Source organism: Homo sapiens, chromosome 11 (assembly GCF_000001405.40).
Source record: "Homo sapiens chromosome 11, GRCh38.p14 Primary Assembly".
In the NCBI taxonomy this organism is placed as follows: Eukaryota; Metazoa; Chordata; class Mammalia; order Primates; family Hominidae; genus Homo; species Homo sapiens.
In genome coordinates, this window is record NC_000011.10 from 77,768,850 (window position 1) to 77,785,110 (window position 16,261).

Consider the following 16,261-nt stretch of genomic DNA (forward strand, 5'->3'; position numbering starts at 1 on the left):
TAAATAGATTGCTCCAGGATGATCGAAATGTTCTATATCTACACTTTTCAGTGCAGTAGCCATTAGCCACATGTGTCTACTGAGAAGCTGAAATGTGGCTAATGAAACTAAGGAACTCAATTCTTAATTTTATTTATTTTTAAATTATCTTAAATTTTAATAAACACGTAGTAAGTTGCTATGGCTTTGGACAGCTGTAAAGTATCAATCATATATATATTTTTTTGAGATGGAGTCTCGCTCTGTCGCCCAGGCTGGAGTGCAGTGGCGCAATCTCAGCTCACTAGAACCTCCACCTCCTGGGTTCAAATGATTCTCCTGCCTCAGCCTCCCAAGTAGCTGGGACTACAGGCACGTGCCACCACACCTCGGCCTCCCAAAATACTGGGATTACAGGTGTGAGCCACCGTGCCCAGCCATCAATCATATTTTTTAAATACATGATCATTTTCTAAAACACTGACAAGCTCTAAATTTATTTATCACCTGCAAGATTTCTAAAACAGTTTCATTTCCAGAAGATAATTAACTTCTTTCTAAAGATTTACTGATTAGCCACTTCAAGTCAATCCAAAAAATAGTTTTTGTCCTAATTGAACTGAAATATCCTCTACCTTTTCACATGATAAATTTCATAAACAAACCCCCTTCTTTCACAGGGCCTCAGGAGGTGAAAGACTCTGAAGGAGAAAGAAACAGTCAGGGGCTATGTGAATTCATGAAGGGCTGCCAACATGATGTAGGTATGAAGTAGCAGAAAAGTGGTGGAATCCCAGACTACATTACTGATCCAATTACTCAAAGATGTTTTATATTTTGACATTTTTCTAAGCATCTTTCTAGCACCATGTCTTAAAAATGTCACTGCTCCTGCAATTCTATTGTGTTACTTATAATTTTACTTTTTTGAATGGTAGAAATGTACAGCACCTCATAACGGCTAAACACATTAATTCTTATTCTTCAATAAAGTCTTCTACTTAAATTTAGTTTAAGCTTATAAGCAGAGATACAGTTATGGAAACAGTTGACACTTTATCTAGGCCATTGATAAAAGAACATTTATTTCAGACACAGTGATTCAAAGACAAGCTTACAATAAGCTTTTAGTTACTGCCCAGTTTTTAGAAACTCTCTTGGGGGAGCAGTTTTAGCATAATGAGACTGATCCCACAGGCCACTTCATCCTTGAAATCACTGTCATGTATTCATATACCTTATCTTTAAAGAGTTCATTTAATCAATCATCCTAGTTTTCTGAAAAGCAAAGAAACAGCTCAAGACTATGAACTGTAACTTAGACGATCATCTAAAAAGGTATAGTACAGAGAGGCTGGGTGTGGTGGCTCGTGCCTGTAATCCCAGCACTTTGGGAGGCCAAGGCGGGTGGATCACGAGGTCAGGAGATCGAGACCACCCTGGCTAACACGGTAAAACCCCATCTCTACTAAAAATACAAAAAATTAGCCAGGTGTGGTGGCGTGCACCTGTAGTCCCAGCTACTCGGGAGGCTGAGAATTGCTTGAACCTGGGAGGCGGAGGATGCAGTGAGCCCAGATCGTGCCACTGCACTCCAGCCTAGGTGACAGAGTGAGACTCCGTCTCAAAAAACAAAACAAAACAAAACAAAAGTATAGCACAGAGATTCCAGCTAAGTATATGCTCACCTCATTACCATTGTGGAAAAAAATAAATCCAAGAATAACTGTTATACAGGCAGATAAACCAAGGGGTATCTGCTGTTCCAATTTAGTTTTCTGAGTTCCATTGAGAATCATACTGTTGTTCCCACATACATAAAGAAACACACCAAACATGGCTCAGATTATTTCAGAACCAAAAACTAGAAAATTTTATCTGCTACCAAGAAAGTAATCAGCATACTACAAATATCAGCATGGCTTGAGGTGGTGATAAGACCAGCAATCCAGAAAGAAGAACAGTATTAAGAGAAATGAAACCCTGTAAAACTGCAGCACCCTGTGAAACCACCTTTCCTGAAGAAGGATTCCTTATGAAGAGACAAGGCCTCTATAAGATGAAGTGAGTAACCCACACAGCAGTCAGTCTTTAAAGGGATACTCTGCTTATACTTATATAACCACTATCCTGGTAGAGGGAATTTGTAGTACTTGGGGCAATGGCTTCTAGTATCAGATGTCTCCAGCTCCAATCAGATGACCCCATTTCCCCTCTTTCTATTCTTTCTAACTCAATTTAACGATCATAGAGAGGAATAAGGGGGGAAGAAAGAAAGGGACAGAAAGAGTCAAAACAAATTTAAAAAGAAAGAATGACGTGACAGTACTTAAGGGGGAAGAACGGATTTTTTCCCCCAAACTAATTTCTCTGCCCAGTAATTTCAAATCTAGTGAAAAGTTCAAAGACTAGTACACTCTTCACCTAGATGCACCACTTGTCAACATTTTTGTCATTGAAAGGGAAACATGTGACACACGGTTAAAACCATCAGGAAATGCCTCTTTAATAAAGATGACACCGTAAAGATAAGAAACAGCCAACTAAGCCAAGGAAGAAGGGAGCATGCCAGGCAAAAGGAAATGCATGTATGAAAGTCCTGAGGAGGCCAACAGCTTCCTCCAATGTGGCTAGAAAATGATACAAGATGCTGCTACAGAAGGGAGCAAAGGCCAAGTCTTAGAGCTATGTAAAGAGTTTAGATTTTATTCTAAGGGTAATGAGACCCCACAGGAGGAATGCAGGAAAGTTTCAAGATTTAAGTTTTTAAAAGATCACTCTTTTAAATCCAGGATCTGTTTGAAATAATCTAGGCGGCAGGAAGCAGAGGTAGATGAAGTTACTGAAGAAACAAAATTGTACTAACGCTGAGTGACGGGCACATGAAAGTCCATTATATAACTTACTACTTTTATATATTTCACATTTTCCATAATTTAAAAATGTCCATAGGATAGAGATTACTTTGGCTGCACTGTGAGGAACAAATTGGAGAGGGTATAAATATGACTATTTAGGAAGACATCGCAATACTTCAGATCAGATAATGATGGCTTGGACTAAGGCTGTGGTGCAGAGATGTAGGAAAGTACCCTGAAGGAAAATTGCAAAAATTTAGAACTTTTCTAAAATGTTAAAACATTTTCTAAGAAGCACCTTTGCCAATCTTAATCCAAAGAAGTGACTGCTTTATGTGTCCTGTATGATGATCCCTATGAGTTTATTCATTCTGAAAAGCAGAAATCATGACTTTTAGTTTAATCACATCCATATTTCAGAAAGACAATATGTACACACAGACATTTAATACTCAAGTCAAATAAATGTATTTGTACATTTTGTTTCTGACACTTTTTTTTTTTTGAGACAGGGTCTCACATCACTCAGGCTGGAGTGCAGTGGCACATCATGGCTCACCGCAGCCTCGATCTCCTGGACTCAACTGATCCTTCTACCTCAGCCTCCTGAGTAGTTGAGATTATAAGTAGGCACCACCATATGTGGCTAAATTTTCTAATTTTTTTGTGTACAGACAGGGTCCCACTATGTTGGCCAGGCTGGTCTCAAACTCCGGGGCTCAAGCGATCCGCCCATCTTGGCCTCCCAAAGTGCTGGGATTACACATGTAAGCTACCACGCCTGGCCTGTTTCTCATACTTTTCATCATTTCAAAGGTCACATATCACTTAAAAACCTGCACTTAATATAACAACTATTATATTACTAAAAACTATGTTATATGTATATTACAAAAAGCACTAGAAAGTCAGGAGAGAGGGGTGCAAACATTGAATTTGTCATTCATAATTGAAGGAATTACACGAGATGATCCAAAGTCCTCCAGCTCTAATATTCAATGTCTATGTCTAGGTATTGAGGTATTTATTTATTTGCCTTATAACAAGGCAACAATTGATAATACCATCTTAGAATTTTGGAACTGGAAGCAATGATCTAATTCACACTCTTTTCAGACTGGAAAACTTAGACCTGAGATGTGACAAGAGTTGCCCAAGATGGAAAAAAAAAAAAAAAAAAAAAAAGGGCCAAGAAGAACGTAGACATCTAGCCTTCCATTCCAGGGCTCTTTCCGATGTTTCTCAAAGTATCAAATGGATGAAGGAATAGTTCACAAGACCTAACTTATGAATCAAACCACTTTCTGCGCAGCTTTGTATCTGGTTTTTGATATTGGGTTGTTTCTGTCTATGCACCTTGAGGCATTATCCATTTCTAAAACATAACCCTGTCAAATAGTTACTGTGGAAACAGAAAAATTATTAATACTTCTTCCAATCCATTCTTCCTTTCTTAAAAAACAGCATTATTGAGATGTAATGCACATACCATACAACTCATCCACTTAAAGTGTACCATCCAATGGCTTTTAGTGTATTACATTATTTATTTAACGGTGGTAAAATATATTTACTGTGAAATTTGCCATTTTAATCATTTTTTTTTTTAGTGTACAATCAGTGGCGCCAATTACATGCCCAGCACTGCACAACCACCACACTATTTCCCAATCTATTCTTACAGTCAAAATTTTTGAAGCAGCCATTCCACTTCCAAACTGATTTCGGAAAATTTTAAATACAAAAAGCAGAGTCTGCTATAGTATATATGCTCAATGGGGGCAAACACTCGTTCTTGGAGGAAAAAAATCTAAATCTGGTCCTCTAAATCTAACTTAACCTTACCTGTCAAAATCTTATTCCTTTATATTTAATGTCTCTTCCTAGAGAAAAATTAATTTAAAATTAAATTATACTTTTCTCTTTAGTGGTGTGATAATTTTTAAAAATTCAAAAGCAAGTGTTGTTACTCAAAATGTAATATGCTATCATAGACAATGCCTAACCTACAAAGCGGCTCTATCCCACTGAAACCCACACAAAGCTGTAAACTGCCCAGTTACCCCTCAAAAACTAATTTTATCAATAATGTTCACTAGAATAGGAAAAATTATCTTGTAATTTTAATATTTAAAGCAGAAAAGGCAAGTACACTGGCTAAAAAAGTGTTTTAAATTTATCCCAAATGCTGATAATTAAGAGAAAACAATTGCTTAGATTTCTGGCCAAGATCAAGTGTAGTATCGGTTCTTATCAGTGTAATATCGACAACAACAACAAAAAAGAATACAGAACACATGAACTAAGTAAAACCAGGAAAGGAGAAAGAAAATAAAGGTAAGCTCTTTAACTTCTTTAGTCCTAATTATCTTTAAGTCTCAATTCCTAATTATCTATCTTCTATCTCTTCTTCTTTCTCTCTCACCCTTAGATGTAAGCTCCATAAGCACAGCCACCTGCCTTTTTCATCACTGTATTCCCAGCACCAAGCACAGTTCCTACTTAATGGTAGACACTCAATTATTTGATGAACTGGAACAGGGACAAGAAAATAAAAAGAGAATGAAAGCAACAGGGAGAGGGGGAGTAAGCAATGTAAAATATTTCTGCAGACAGCTAGAAAAGAGAGTTCCAGGTTGGGCGTGGTAGCTCACGCCTGTAATCCCAGCACTTTGGGAGGCCAGGGCAGGCAGATCACGAGGTCAGGAGTTCGAGACCAGCTAAAAAATACAAAAATTAGCCAGGCATGGTGGTGTGCACCTGTAGTCCCAGCTACTCGGGAGGCTGAGGCAGGAGAATCACTTGAACCCAGGAGGTGGAGGTTGCAGTGAACTGAGATTGCATCACTGCACTCCAGCCTGGCCACAGAGCGAGACTCTGTCTCAAAAAATAAATAAATAAATAAATAAATAAATAAATAAATAAATAAATAAAATAAAGAAAAGAGAGTTCCTAGGCCAGATGCTGCAGTGGCTCACGCCTGTAATCCCAGTACTTTGGAAGGCAGAGGCAGGCAGATCACCTGAGGTCAGGAGTTCAAGACCAGCCTGGCCAACATGGTGAAACCCTGCTTCTTTCTTTTTTTTCTTTTTTTTTTGAGACGGACTCTTGCACTGTCACCCCAGGCTGGTGTGCAATGGCATGATCTCGGCTTGCTGCAACCTCTGCTTCCCGGGTTCCAGTGATTCTCCTGCCTCAGCCTCCCGAGTAGCTAGGATTACAGGCGCCCGCCACCATGCCAGTATAATTTTTTGTATTTTTAGTACAGATGAGGTTTCACTATGTTGGCCAGGCTGGTCTCGAATCCTGACCTCATGATCTGCCCAACTCAGCCTCCCAAAGTGCTGGGATTACAGGCGTGAGCCACTGCGCCCGGCCGTGAAACCCTGTTTCTACTAAAAATACAAAAAAACTAGCTGGGCATGGTCGTGGGCACCTGTAATCCCAGCTACTCAGGAGGCTGAGACAGGAGAATCTCTTGAACCCGGGAGGCAGAGGTTGCAGTGAGCCAAGATTGCACCTTTGCATTCCAGCCTGGGGGACAACAGCGAGACTCCATCTCAAAAAAAAAAAAAACCCAAAACACAAACTGAAGAGAGTTCCCTGTAGGTGTGAAAGAGAAATTATCTGAATGAATATATTAATATGCAGGAAGTGATACAGAAGAGATGAAAAAGATGGCAAAGATGACTCTGGGTTGTTCAGAGCACTGTGGGAGCGAACAGGTGATATCACTAACCGAAGAGGGCTCATTGTTGTCTTTTCCCCGCTTTTCTCTCCCTTTTAAGGGGAGGAAAGGGAAAGGAGAATGCTCCCATGGACATCTGTATATAGGAGTAAATAACCAAGTCCATATGTTTAATTAAAGAAATACTTACACAGGCATATTCTAGTATCAGACCTCTATAAAACGCCAGGCTTCTATGCTCATCATGTATATTCCATAGGTATTTAAAACTTGAGCAGGGCCAGGTCCGGTGGTTCACACCTGTAATCCCAATGCTTTGGGAGGCTGAGGAAGGAGGATAGCTGGAAGCCAGAAGTTTAACATCAGCCTGGGAAATAGTGAGACCCTGTTTCTTTGTTTGTTTGTTTGTTTAAACACAGAGTCTTGCTCTGTTGTCTAGGCTGAAGTGCAGTGGCACGATCGGGGCTCACTGACTGCAGCCTCAAACTCCTAGGCTCAAGCAATCCTCCTACTCAGCTTTCTCATGTAACTGGGACCACAGGCATGTCCCACCATGCTTGACTAATTTTTAAATTTTTCTGTAGAGTCCAGGTTTCCTTACTATTGCCCAGGCTAGTCTTGATCTCCTGGACTCAAGTGATCCTCTGGGCTCAGCCTTCCAAAGTGCTGGGATTAACACTCAAAAAAGACGCTGGGCATGGTAGCATGTGCTTGTAGTCCTCCTTAGCTACTTGGGTTGCTGAGGGAGGAGGACTGCTGGAGCCCAGGACTTCAAGGCTGTAGTGAGTGATTGCACCAACTGCACTTCAGCCTGGGTGCCAAAGTGAGACCCTGTATCACTAAAAACAAACAAACAAAAACGGGGAAAAAACCTTCAACAGCATATTAGAAGATTCCTTTATGATTCAAAACCATAATTTTAGGTGTTACAACATCAGTTAGATGTTTCTTTTATAGAAAATTCTGCAGAACTATAAACTTATACTGTAAGAACTCCATTTCTTTGTGAAATTTATATTTTGTCTTTACTCCTTGCTAATAAGTGATCAGCTCATACCTTTTTTCAGTTAACATTCATTTGACAAGCAGAGGTACCTAGATGAGTAGCATACTATGTCATCTTATAGTTTCCTGAGATTTTGTCATAAAGCAGAACGAAATGAGCTCATTATAGTTTCTAGTTATTTCAATAAATTAGAAAATGTATATGATGTACTTTATATATCATAAAGCAATACCCAAGCCAAAGTTATCACTATTCACCAGCAGATGGTGATCATGTCTTACTTAAAGAAAAATTCTGACACCTTATTTGAGGGCTAGCCAGCCAATTGCTAAAAATGATCAATAAGCAAACTAGAGTATCTGAATAAAATGTTGGTGATTTTTAAGTACAATCAAATGGAACACCAGCAAACACAAGCAATAAAAAACAAGTTTAGAAGTCTGAAGACTTCTAAAGGAACTGTTTTCTCTATGTGAACATTTGCAAACTGGTAATTAAATAAAAAGGTAACAATGAATGTGTTTCTGGCAATCCTATATAGATTATTAAACCACTCATTCCACACTGAACTTCTTGAACTACAAATAGAAAAACTTCTACCCAGCAAAATGGTGACACTAAACCATTTTTTAAAAAAACAAACAAAAGGACAGACTAGTACAATAAAACCTCATGACCTCATCACCTCACTTAAACAATTATAAATAAATGAACAAGACTTTTTTTCTTCTCCAATGGATCATTTTAAAGCAAATTCTAGATATCATTATTTCATCCATAAATACTTCAGTGTGTATCTCTAAAAGATAAAATTGCCATAATACCATTATTACCTCTTTGAAAATAACCATAATACCATTATGATATTAACTATAATTATTTTTAAATAACCATATCATTATTACCACATTTTCAAAATTAGTAATCCCCGCCAGGCGAGGTGGCTCAGGCCTGTAATCCCAGCACTTTTGGAGGCTGCAGCGGGTGGATCCCCTGAGGTCAGGAGTTTGAGACCAGCCTGGTCAACATGGTGAAACCCTGTCGCTAATAAAAATATAAGAAATTAGCCAGGCGTGGTGGCGGGCGCCTGTAGTCTCAGCTACTTGGGAGGCTGAGGAAGGAGAATCGCTTGAACCTGGAAGGTGGAGGTTGTGGTGAGCCAAGATGGCACCATTGCACTCCAGCCTGGGCAACAAGAGCGAAACTCCGTCTCAAAATAAATAAAAAAATAAATAAATAAAGTAATACTTCCTTTTAAAGGTTCAGGAAAGCTGAGACCTTAATGACATTTTTAAAAGAGTTCCACCAAAAGAACTGAGTTGTGCTGAGTGAGGTGGCACACACCTGTAATCCTAGCTACTCGAGAGACTCAGACAGGAGGACTGCATCAACCCAGGAGTTCAAGACCAGTCTGGGCCACATAACAAGACCCTGTCTCAAACAAACAAACAAATGAACGAACAAACAAGCAAGCAAAATTATTCCATTGTATTGAAAAATTAACATCCTTACTACTCTTCATTGTTGGCAAAGAAGCATCATTATCTCAATACCTAGTTCTTATGTGCATAAAATCTAACCTAACAGAAAATAAGACAAACAGTATCTTAAACTTCAGGTATGGTGGCTCATGCCTGTAATCCCAGCAGGCTGAGGCATAAGGATGGCTTGAGACCAAGAGTTTGAGAGCAGCCTAGGCAATACAGGCAGATCCTGTCTTGGGAAGGGGAGGGGAGGAGGGGGAGAGGATGGGGAGGGGAGTGGAGGGGGGAGGGAAGGGGGAATGGAGGGGGAGTGGAGGGGAGGGGTGGGGGAGGGAAGGGGAGAGGATGGGGAGGGGAGGGGGTGGGGGAGGGAAGGGGAGAGCATGGGGGAGGGAAGGGGAGAGGATGGGGGAGGGGAGGGGAAAAAATACCTTCAGGCTTTAGAGAAAAACAATGTTCCTAGCGGTGTTTTACTAAGACTGGGTCCCTTGAAAACTCATAAAACATGAAATTAACAAGTATTTTCATTTATATGTGACACTGAACAAATCTTTTACACTGCTGTTGGTCTCAAACAATAATAATATAAGGTTATCAAACATGTGGAAACTTTTTTTAATCAACTATTACCATGTTAAGAGCATGATAAAGTCCCCTCTAACATATGCTCCCTCTTCTCTCTTTCTGAAAAAAGTTCTTGGCAAACTCTTGCACTCAAGTGATCTTCCTACCTCAGCCTACCAATTAGCTTGGACTATAGGCACACCACCACACTCAGCTAATTTTTAACAATTTTTAGCAGAGATGAGTCTCACTATGTTGCCCAGGACTAAATGGACTCTTCAGTCTTTGTCTTAATTTGGGAACATGTGACACTGTTGATCATATCTTCCTTCTTGAAACGTGGACATTCTGTGACATCACTTTTCTGATTTATCTTCTCTCTCTGTCCTTTTTTGGATTCCTTTGCAAGCCCTCTGTTTCTGGTCTATCCCTGAAAGCTAGTTATTTCCATTTTAGAATTTTCATTTCTTTAGTCCCTAAGTTATGTGATCCACCCTTTTGTTTCAATTTATCTTTTCATTCATTCATTTTTTGGAGACAGAGTCTCACTCTGTTGACCAGGCTGGAGTGCAGTGGTACTATCTCAGCTCACTGCAGCATCCACCTCCCAGGTTCAAGCGATCTCATGTCTGAGCCTCCCAAGTAGCTGGGATTACAGACATGCACCACCATGCCCAGCTAATTTTTGTATTTTTCGTAGAGACACGGTTTCACCATGTTGGCCAGGCTGGTCTCAAACTCCTGACCTCAGGTGATCCACCCACTTAGGCCTCCCAAAGGCCATTTATTTATTTTTAGAGACAGAGTCTCACTCTGTTACTCAGGCTGGAGTGAAGTGGTGTGATCATAGCTCACTGCAGCCTTCAACTCCTGAGCTCAAGCGATCCTACTGCCTTAGCCTCCCTAGTAGCTAGGACTATAGGCACACCACTATGCCTTGCTATTTCTAAAAAAAATTTTTTTTTTTTTTTGAGATGGAGTTTCACTCTTGTTGCCCAGGCTGGAGTGCAATGGCGCGATCTTGGCTCACTGCAACCTCCGCCTCCTGGGTTCAAGCCATTCTCCTGCCTCAGCCTCCCAAGTAGCTGGGATTACAGGCATGCGCCACCACGCCTGGCTAATTTTGTAGTTTTAGTAGAGATGGGGTTTCTCCATGTTGGTCAGGCTGGTCTCGAACTCTTGACCTCAGGTGATCTGCCCACCTCAGCCTGGGATTACAGGTGTGAACCACCACACCTGGCCTCTTAAAATTCTTTCTAGACACGGGCTGCTTAAATATACTATTGTCTTGCTGTGCTGGTTAAAGATTTGTTCAGGTAACAGAAAACCTTACTAGAGTGGCTTTACAAATAAAAGGTTAGTTTTTCTCATGTAATGAGAAGTCCAGAGTAATGAGTTGCCAGTTTTTGTTTACTGGCTCAACAAATCTGTCATACTGAACTTCTTGGAGTTCCCAAACATACCATGCTATTTCTAGCCTCTAGGGCTTAGCATGTACAGTTCCCTCTATTCTCACTCCATCCCCTCCCATCATGGGGTTCAATTTAGATGTTGCTTCCTTTGGAAATCATCTTTTTATCCCACTTAATCCAGACTAAGTGCCAATGCTGGGTGTTCCCAAATGATCCTAACTTGTACTTATGCATCACATTGTATCATAAATGCCTGTTTACTTAGCTCTATCCCACATTAAACAGGCCTATATCTTCAGCACCTAGGACAGTGGCTAGCACATACCATGCATTCCATAAAGACTTGTTCAATTCAATGGGTTTGGTCTTTAAAAAAACCAAGTAACTTTTTGATAAACATCAACTTCTAACCCAAGTAACTAACTGATTAGCAAACAATAATACATGTTTCTTGCTCATACTTAAAGAACCAAACAGAAAAAAGGAACAAATTTCTAAATCCATTAAGGAAACATGTAAAATAAAATATCTGTCTTCAGGATGTGCAATCAACCATTCCATGCCATCAACTTACAGGTGGACAAGCATAAACTGGCTTTTATGAAAACTGAAGTTTTAGGAAGTTTAGTGAGCTTGCTAATTAATAGATGACAAAAGGCAGGCTACCTAAGATAATAAAAAACAAAACAGAAGAGAGACTATGGGCCGGGTGCTGTGGCTCACACCTGTAATCCCAGCACTTTGGGAAGCCAAGGTGGGCGAATCACTGGAGGTCAGGAGTTTGAGACAAGCCTGGCCAACATGGTGAAACCTGTCTCTACTAAAAATACAAAAATTAGCCGCGTGTGGTGGCACATGCTGGTAGTCCCTGCTACTCGGGAGGCTGAAGCAGGAGAATGGCTTGAACCCAGGAAGCAGAAGTTGCAGTGAGCCAAGATCATGCCACTGCACTACAGCCTGGGTGACAGAGCGAGACTCCGTCTCAAAAAAAAAAAAAAAAAGAGACTATGACTAAATAAATGGTTCTCCCATGCTCCACTTTGCAGTCAGTCACCCCACTTCTGGCCTCAGGAAACCATTGATCTGTTTTCCATACTACAGATTTGCCTTTTGTAGAGTTTCATATAATACGAACTCTTTTTGTCTGGCTTTTTTGCTTCACATGATGTTTCTGAGATACACATTTTTTAACGTCAGTGTCCCTTTGTATGAATTTATAAAAATTTGGTCATCCAATCATTGGCTGATGAATGTTTGAATTGTCTTTTTTTTTTGAGAGAGAGAGAATCTCACTCTGTCACACAGGCTGGAGTGCAGTGGCTCGATTTCGGCTCATTGCAACCTTCACCTCCTGGGTTCATACAATTCTCCTGCCTCAGCCCCGAGTACCTGGGATTACAGGCATGTGCCACCATGCCCAGCTAATTTTTGTATTTTTAATAGAGATGGGGTGTCACCATGTTGGCCAGACTGGTCTCGAACTTCTGACCTCAAGTGTTCTGCCCACCTCAGCCTTGCAAAATGTTAGAATTACAGATGTGAGCCACTGTGCCTGGCCTCCGTGTTTTGACTATTATAAATAAAGCTGCTATGAATATTTCTGTGCAAGTCTTTGTATAGACATACATTTTTATTTCTCTTGAGTAGACAGCAGTGGAGCTCATGAGTTGTGTGGTAGAGACAGGTTTAACCTAATAAGAAACTCCCAAACATTTTGCCAATGTAAGTTGTACCATTTATTATTGTCTAAGAGTTCCAACTGTTTCACATCCTCAAAAACACTTGAGGTGTCAGTCATTTTTAAAGAATGTTTTTTTCTTTGTTGGATAGTGTTCTGGAAATATCAATAATATCATTTATTGACAATATTGTTCATGTCTTCTATATTCCGAATGATTTTGTCTAGTTGCACTATTGACTACTGAGAGGGAAGTGTTGAAATTTCCAGTTATAACTGCATTGTATATGTTTTTTAAGTTGTCAGTTTTTGCTTCATGTGTTTTAAAGCTCTGCTATTAGTAAAAATACTGTCAGAATTGTATCTTCCTAATGAACAGCATTATGAAACACTCCTATCTATTTCTAATATTCTTTTTCATTTTCAGATACTAATATAGTCATTAGTCTTTGCATTTTAGTTGGCTATAGTAATATAGCTGTCTCATTTTCTGATATTAATATAGTAATTCCAGCTTTCTTATGATGAGTTTTGAGTATCATTTTCCATCCTTTTACTTTTAACCTATATCTTTATGTTTGAAGTGAATTTCTATAGACAGCATATACCTGGGTCTTTCTTTTCTATCCACTCTACCAATCTCATTTAATTTTAATTACAATACCACATGTGGCTTAGTGGTGACATATTGGAGACAGCAGGTTTAGAACAAGGATTAGGCCAGAAGTGGTGGCTCACGAGGCCAGAAGTGGTGGCTCACGCCTGTAATCCCAACACTTTGGGAGGCTGAGGCAGGCAGATCACTTTTGGTCAGGAGCTGGAGACCAGCCAGGCCAACATGGCAAAACCCCGTCTCTACTAAATATACAAAACTTAGCCAGGTGTGGTGGCGCGCACCTGTAGTCCCAGCTACTCAGGAGGCTAAGGCAGGAGAATCGCATAAATCCAGGAGGTGGAAGTTGCAGTGAGCAGAGATCGTGCCACTGAACTCCAGCCTGGGCCACAGGGCGAGAATCCGTCTCAAAAAAAAAAAAAGAACAAGGATTAGCAAACTACTGCCCACAAGGGCTGTATGCAGCATATTACCTGCTTTAGTGGTGCCTGCAACTAACAATGTTTCTACATTTGAAAATAGGGTAGAGGGGAAAAAAAAATCAAAGAAAACATAATATTTTGACACACAACAACATGAAATTCAAATCTTAGTGTCTGTAACGTTTTATTGGAACACAAAAAATGTAATTTCTATGGCTAATTTTGTGCCTCAAGAGCAGAATTAAACACTTTTAACAGACACTATTGATGATCACAAAGCCTAAAATTAAAATATTCTTTAATGTCTGACTCTTTACAGAAAAACTTGGCTAACCCCAAACTAAAATTATTTGTTTAATGCAATAACTGATATAACTGAGTTAAAATCTATTATTTTGTTCATATACATTTATTTGTTCCTTTCTTACTCCTTTTAATGTCTTCTTTTGAATTAACTTGATTAAAATGAACTTCATTTAACATCTACTCTTAGCTAATTAATTACACTTCTTTAAGTTTTTGTGGTTGCTTCAGGTTTTACAAAACAAAGCATCTTTAACTCAATACAGTCTACTATTAAATAATATTCTACCACCTCACATACAACATGAACACTTTTTACCCTTACATTATATTTGCAATTCCTTGTTCTCATCCTTAGTACTAGAGCTTTCATGTTTCACTTCCTCATATATTGTGAAATTTGCAATACATGGTGATTTTTGCTTCAAATGGCTAATTACCTTTTAAAAAGACTTTTTTAAAATTGGGAAAAATTTAATTTTAACATATTTATCCTTTCTTCCACTTGTCATCACTTTGTCTAGGTCCAAGTTTTCATCCGAAGATGTTTCTTGTAGTGCAAGTGGCTAGCTCATAACATATTCTCTGGTTTTACCTGTCTGAAAAAGTTTTTATTTCACCCTAATTTTTGAAGGATATTTTGCTAGATATAGAAGTTTTCATCTAATACCTTTCATTTAGTACTTTTGTAACATCCATTATCAGCCGGGTGCAGTGGCTCACACCTGTAATCCCAGCGCTTTAGGAGGCTGAGGCGGGCGGATTGCTTGAGCCCAGGAGTTTGAGACCAGCCTGGGCAACACAGCGAGACCTAGTCTCTACAAAAAATTAAAAAATTAGCCAGGCATAATGGTGTGCGTCAGGAGTCCCAGCTACTCAGGAGGCTGAACTGGGAGGATCGCTTGAGCCCAGGAAGTTGAGGCTGCAGTGAGCCATGTTTACTCCACTGCACTCCAGCCTGGGTGACAGAGCAAGACCCGATTTCAAAAAAAAAAAGTTACTTATCGCCTAGTTTGTATAGTTTCCAACAAAACGTCTTCTTTGTTCCTCTGTATATAATATGTCTTTTTCTTAGGTTGCCTTTAAGATTCTGTCACTGCTTTCTGGCAAAGGACAAACATACAAATGTCTGTAAATGTTTGTCTGTGTTTGTCGTACTTTAGGTTTGTTGAGATTATTGGGTTTGTGGGTTTATAATTTTCATCAAATTTGAAATTTTGCATTCATTATTCTTCCAATATTCTTGGCTCCATCCTCCTTCTAGGATCTCAAATACACTTTATGGAGGCTGCTTGATACTATTCCACAGACCAGTGAAGCACTTGATTATTTTCAGTTCTCTTTCTCACTGCTTCATTTTAGGATAAAGTCTACTGACATGTCTTCAAGTTCACTAGTTTGTTCTGCAGCATCCAATCTTCTGTGAAATGCCTTTCAGTAATTTATTTAAGATACTATTATTTTTTTAATCTCTAGAAGTTCTATATGTTTATTTTTCTTATCTTTCATTTCTTTCATTATGTTCATATTTTTCTTTAAATACTTTTACTAATTATAATACTTATTTTACTGTCCTTGTCTGCTAGATCTAGTATCTCCATCATTTCTGAATCTGCTTCTTTGGGTTCATTTTTCTCCTGGTTAAGAGTTAGACCAGTTTCTCAGCACAGCTAGTAATTTGAGCCATATTGAGTAAATTAAGCTTGGATGTTGGAAAATATCAATGTTACCATGCTGCTAAGCGCTGCTAAGATGTGCTGTTAAGATTTTGCAATGTGCTGTAAAAATCAGTTGGGCTTTGTTTTGGCAGGTATTTATTTGCAGATTCATCTTATCTTTTTAAGGCCTTTTCTGTCAGGTTTACTACAATGAATCAATTGGGTTCTCCATTGAATGCCCTGAGTGCTACAAAGAATATTTCACTCTGGTCAGAGTTCAAACATCTCCAGTGTAAGTTCTAGGAAATGTTTGGCTAGTAATAACCTGGATGTTCAGTGCCTAGCGTTGTGGATTTTCACTGTTTGCATATACGACCTAGTCTTCAGCAAAGACTCAAGGTAGCCCATGTACAGATTTCTGAAATTCTGTCTTCTGCATAGCCCTCTTCTTTTCAGAACCTGGCCCTGCAACTTCTAGCTGCCTAAGCCTCTTGAAATCCAATCTTTGCCTCCTCAACTGAGTGAAGCTGCCAGACTCATTAGATTCTCTCTCTCTGTTTCTGCGGTCCTAAAGCTGCTTCCAGGCAGGAAACCCT

At 39.4% G+C, this 16,261-nt stretch overlaps 1 protein-coding gene and 1 pseudogene across 3 annotated transcripts in view, besides 1 other annotated feature; one reads left to right on the plus strand and one right to left on the minus strand.

The window, feature by feature from the left end:
* Positions 1-16,261, minus strand: part of RSF1 (remodeling and spacing factor 1) — a 212,224-nt gene that overhangs the window by 108,841 nt on the left and 87,122 nt on the right. The gene's annotated exons all lie outside the window — the stretch shown is intronic.
* Positions 248-15,961, plus strand: LOC124902804 (UPF0764 protein C16orf89-like; annotated as a pseudogene).
* Positions 11,191-11,391: a silencer, noted in NCBI's record as "peak1365 fragment used in MPRA reporter construct". NCBI's record gives its function as "represses an SCP1 promoter by STARR-seq MPRAs in K562 erythroleukemia cells {active_cell/tissue: K562}" and the evidence as "EXISTENCE:reporter gene assay evidence [ECO:0000049][PMID:32103011]".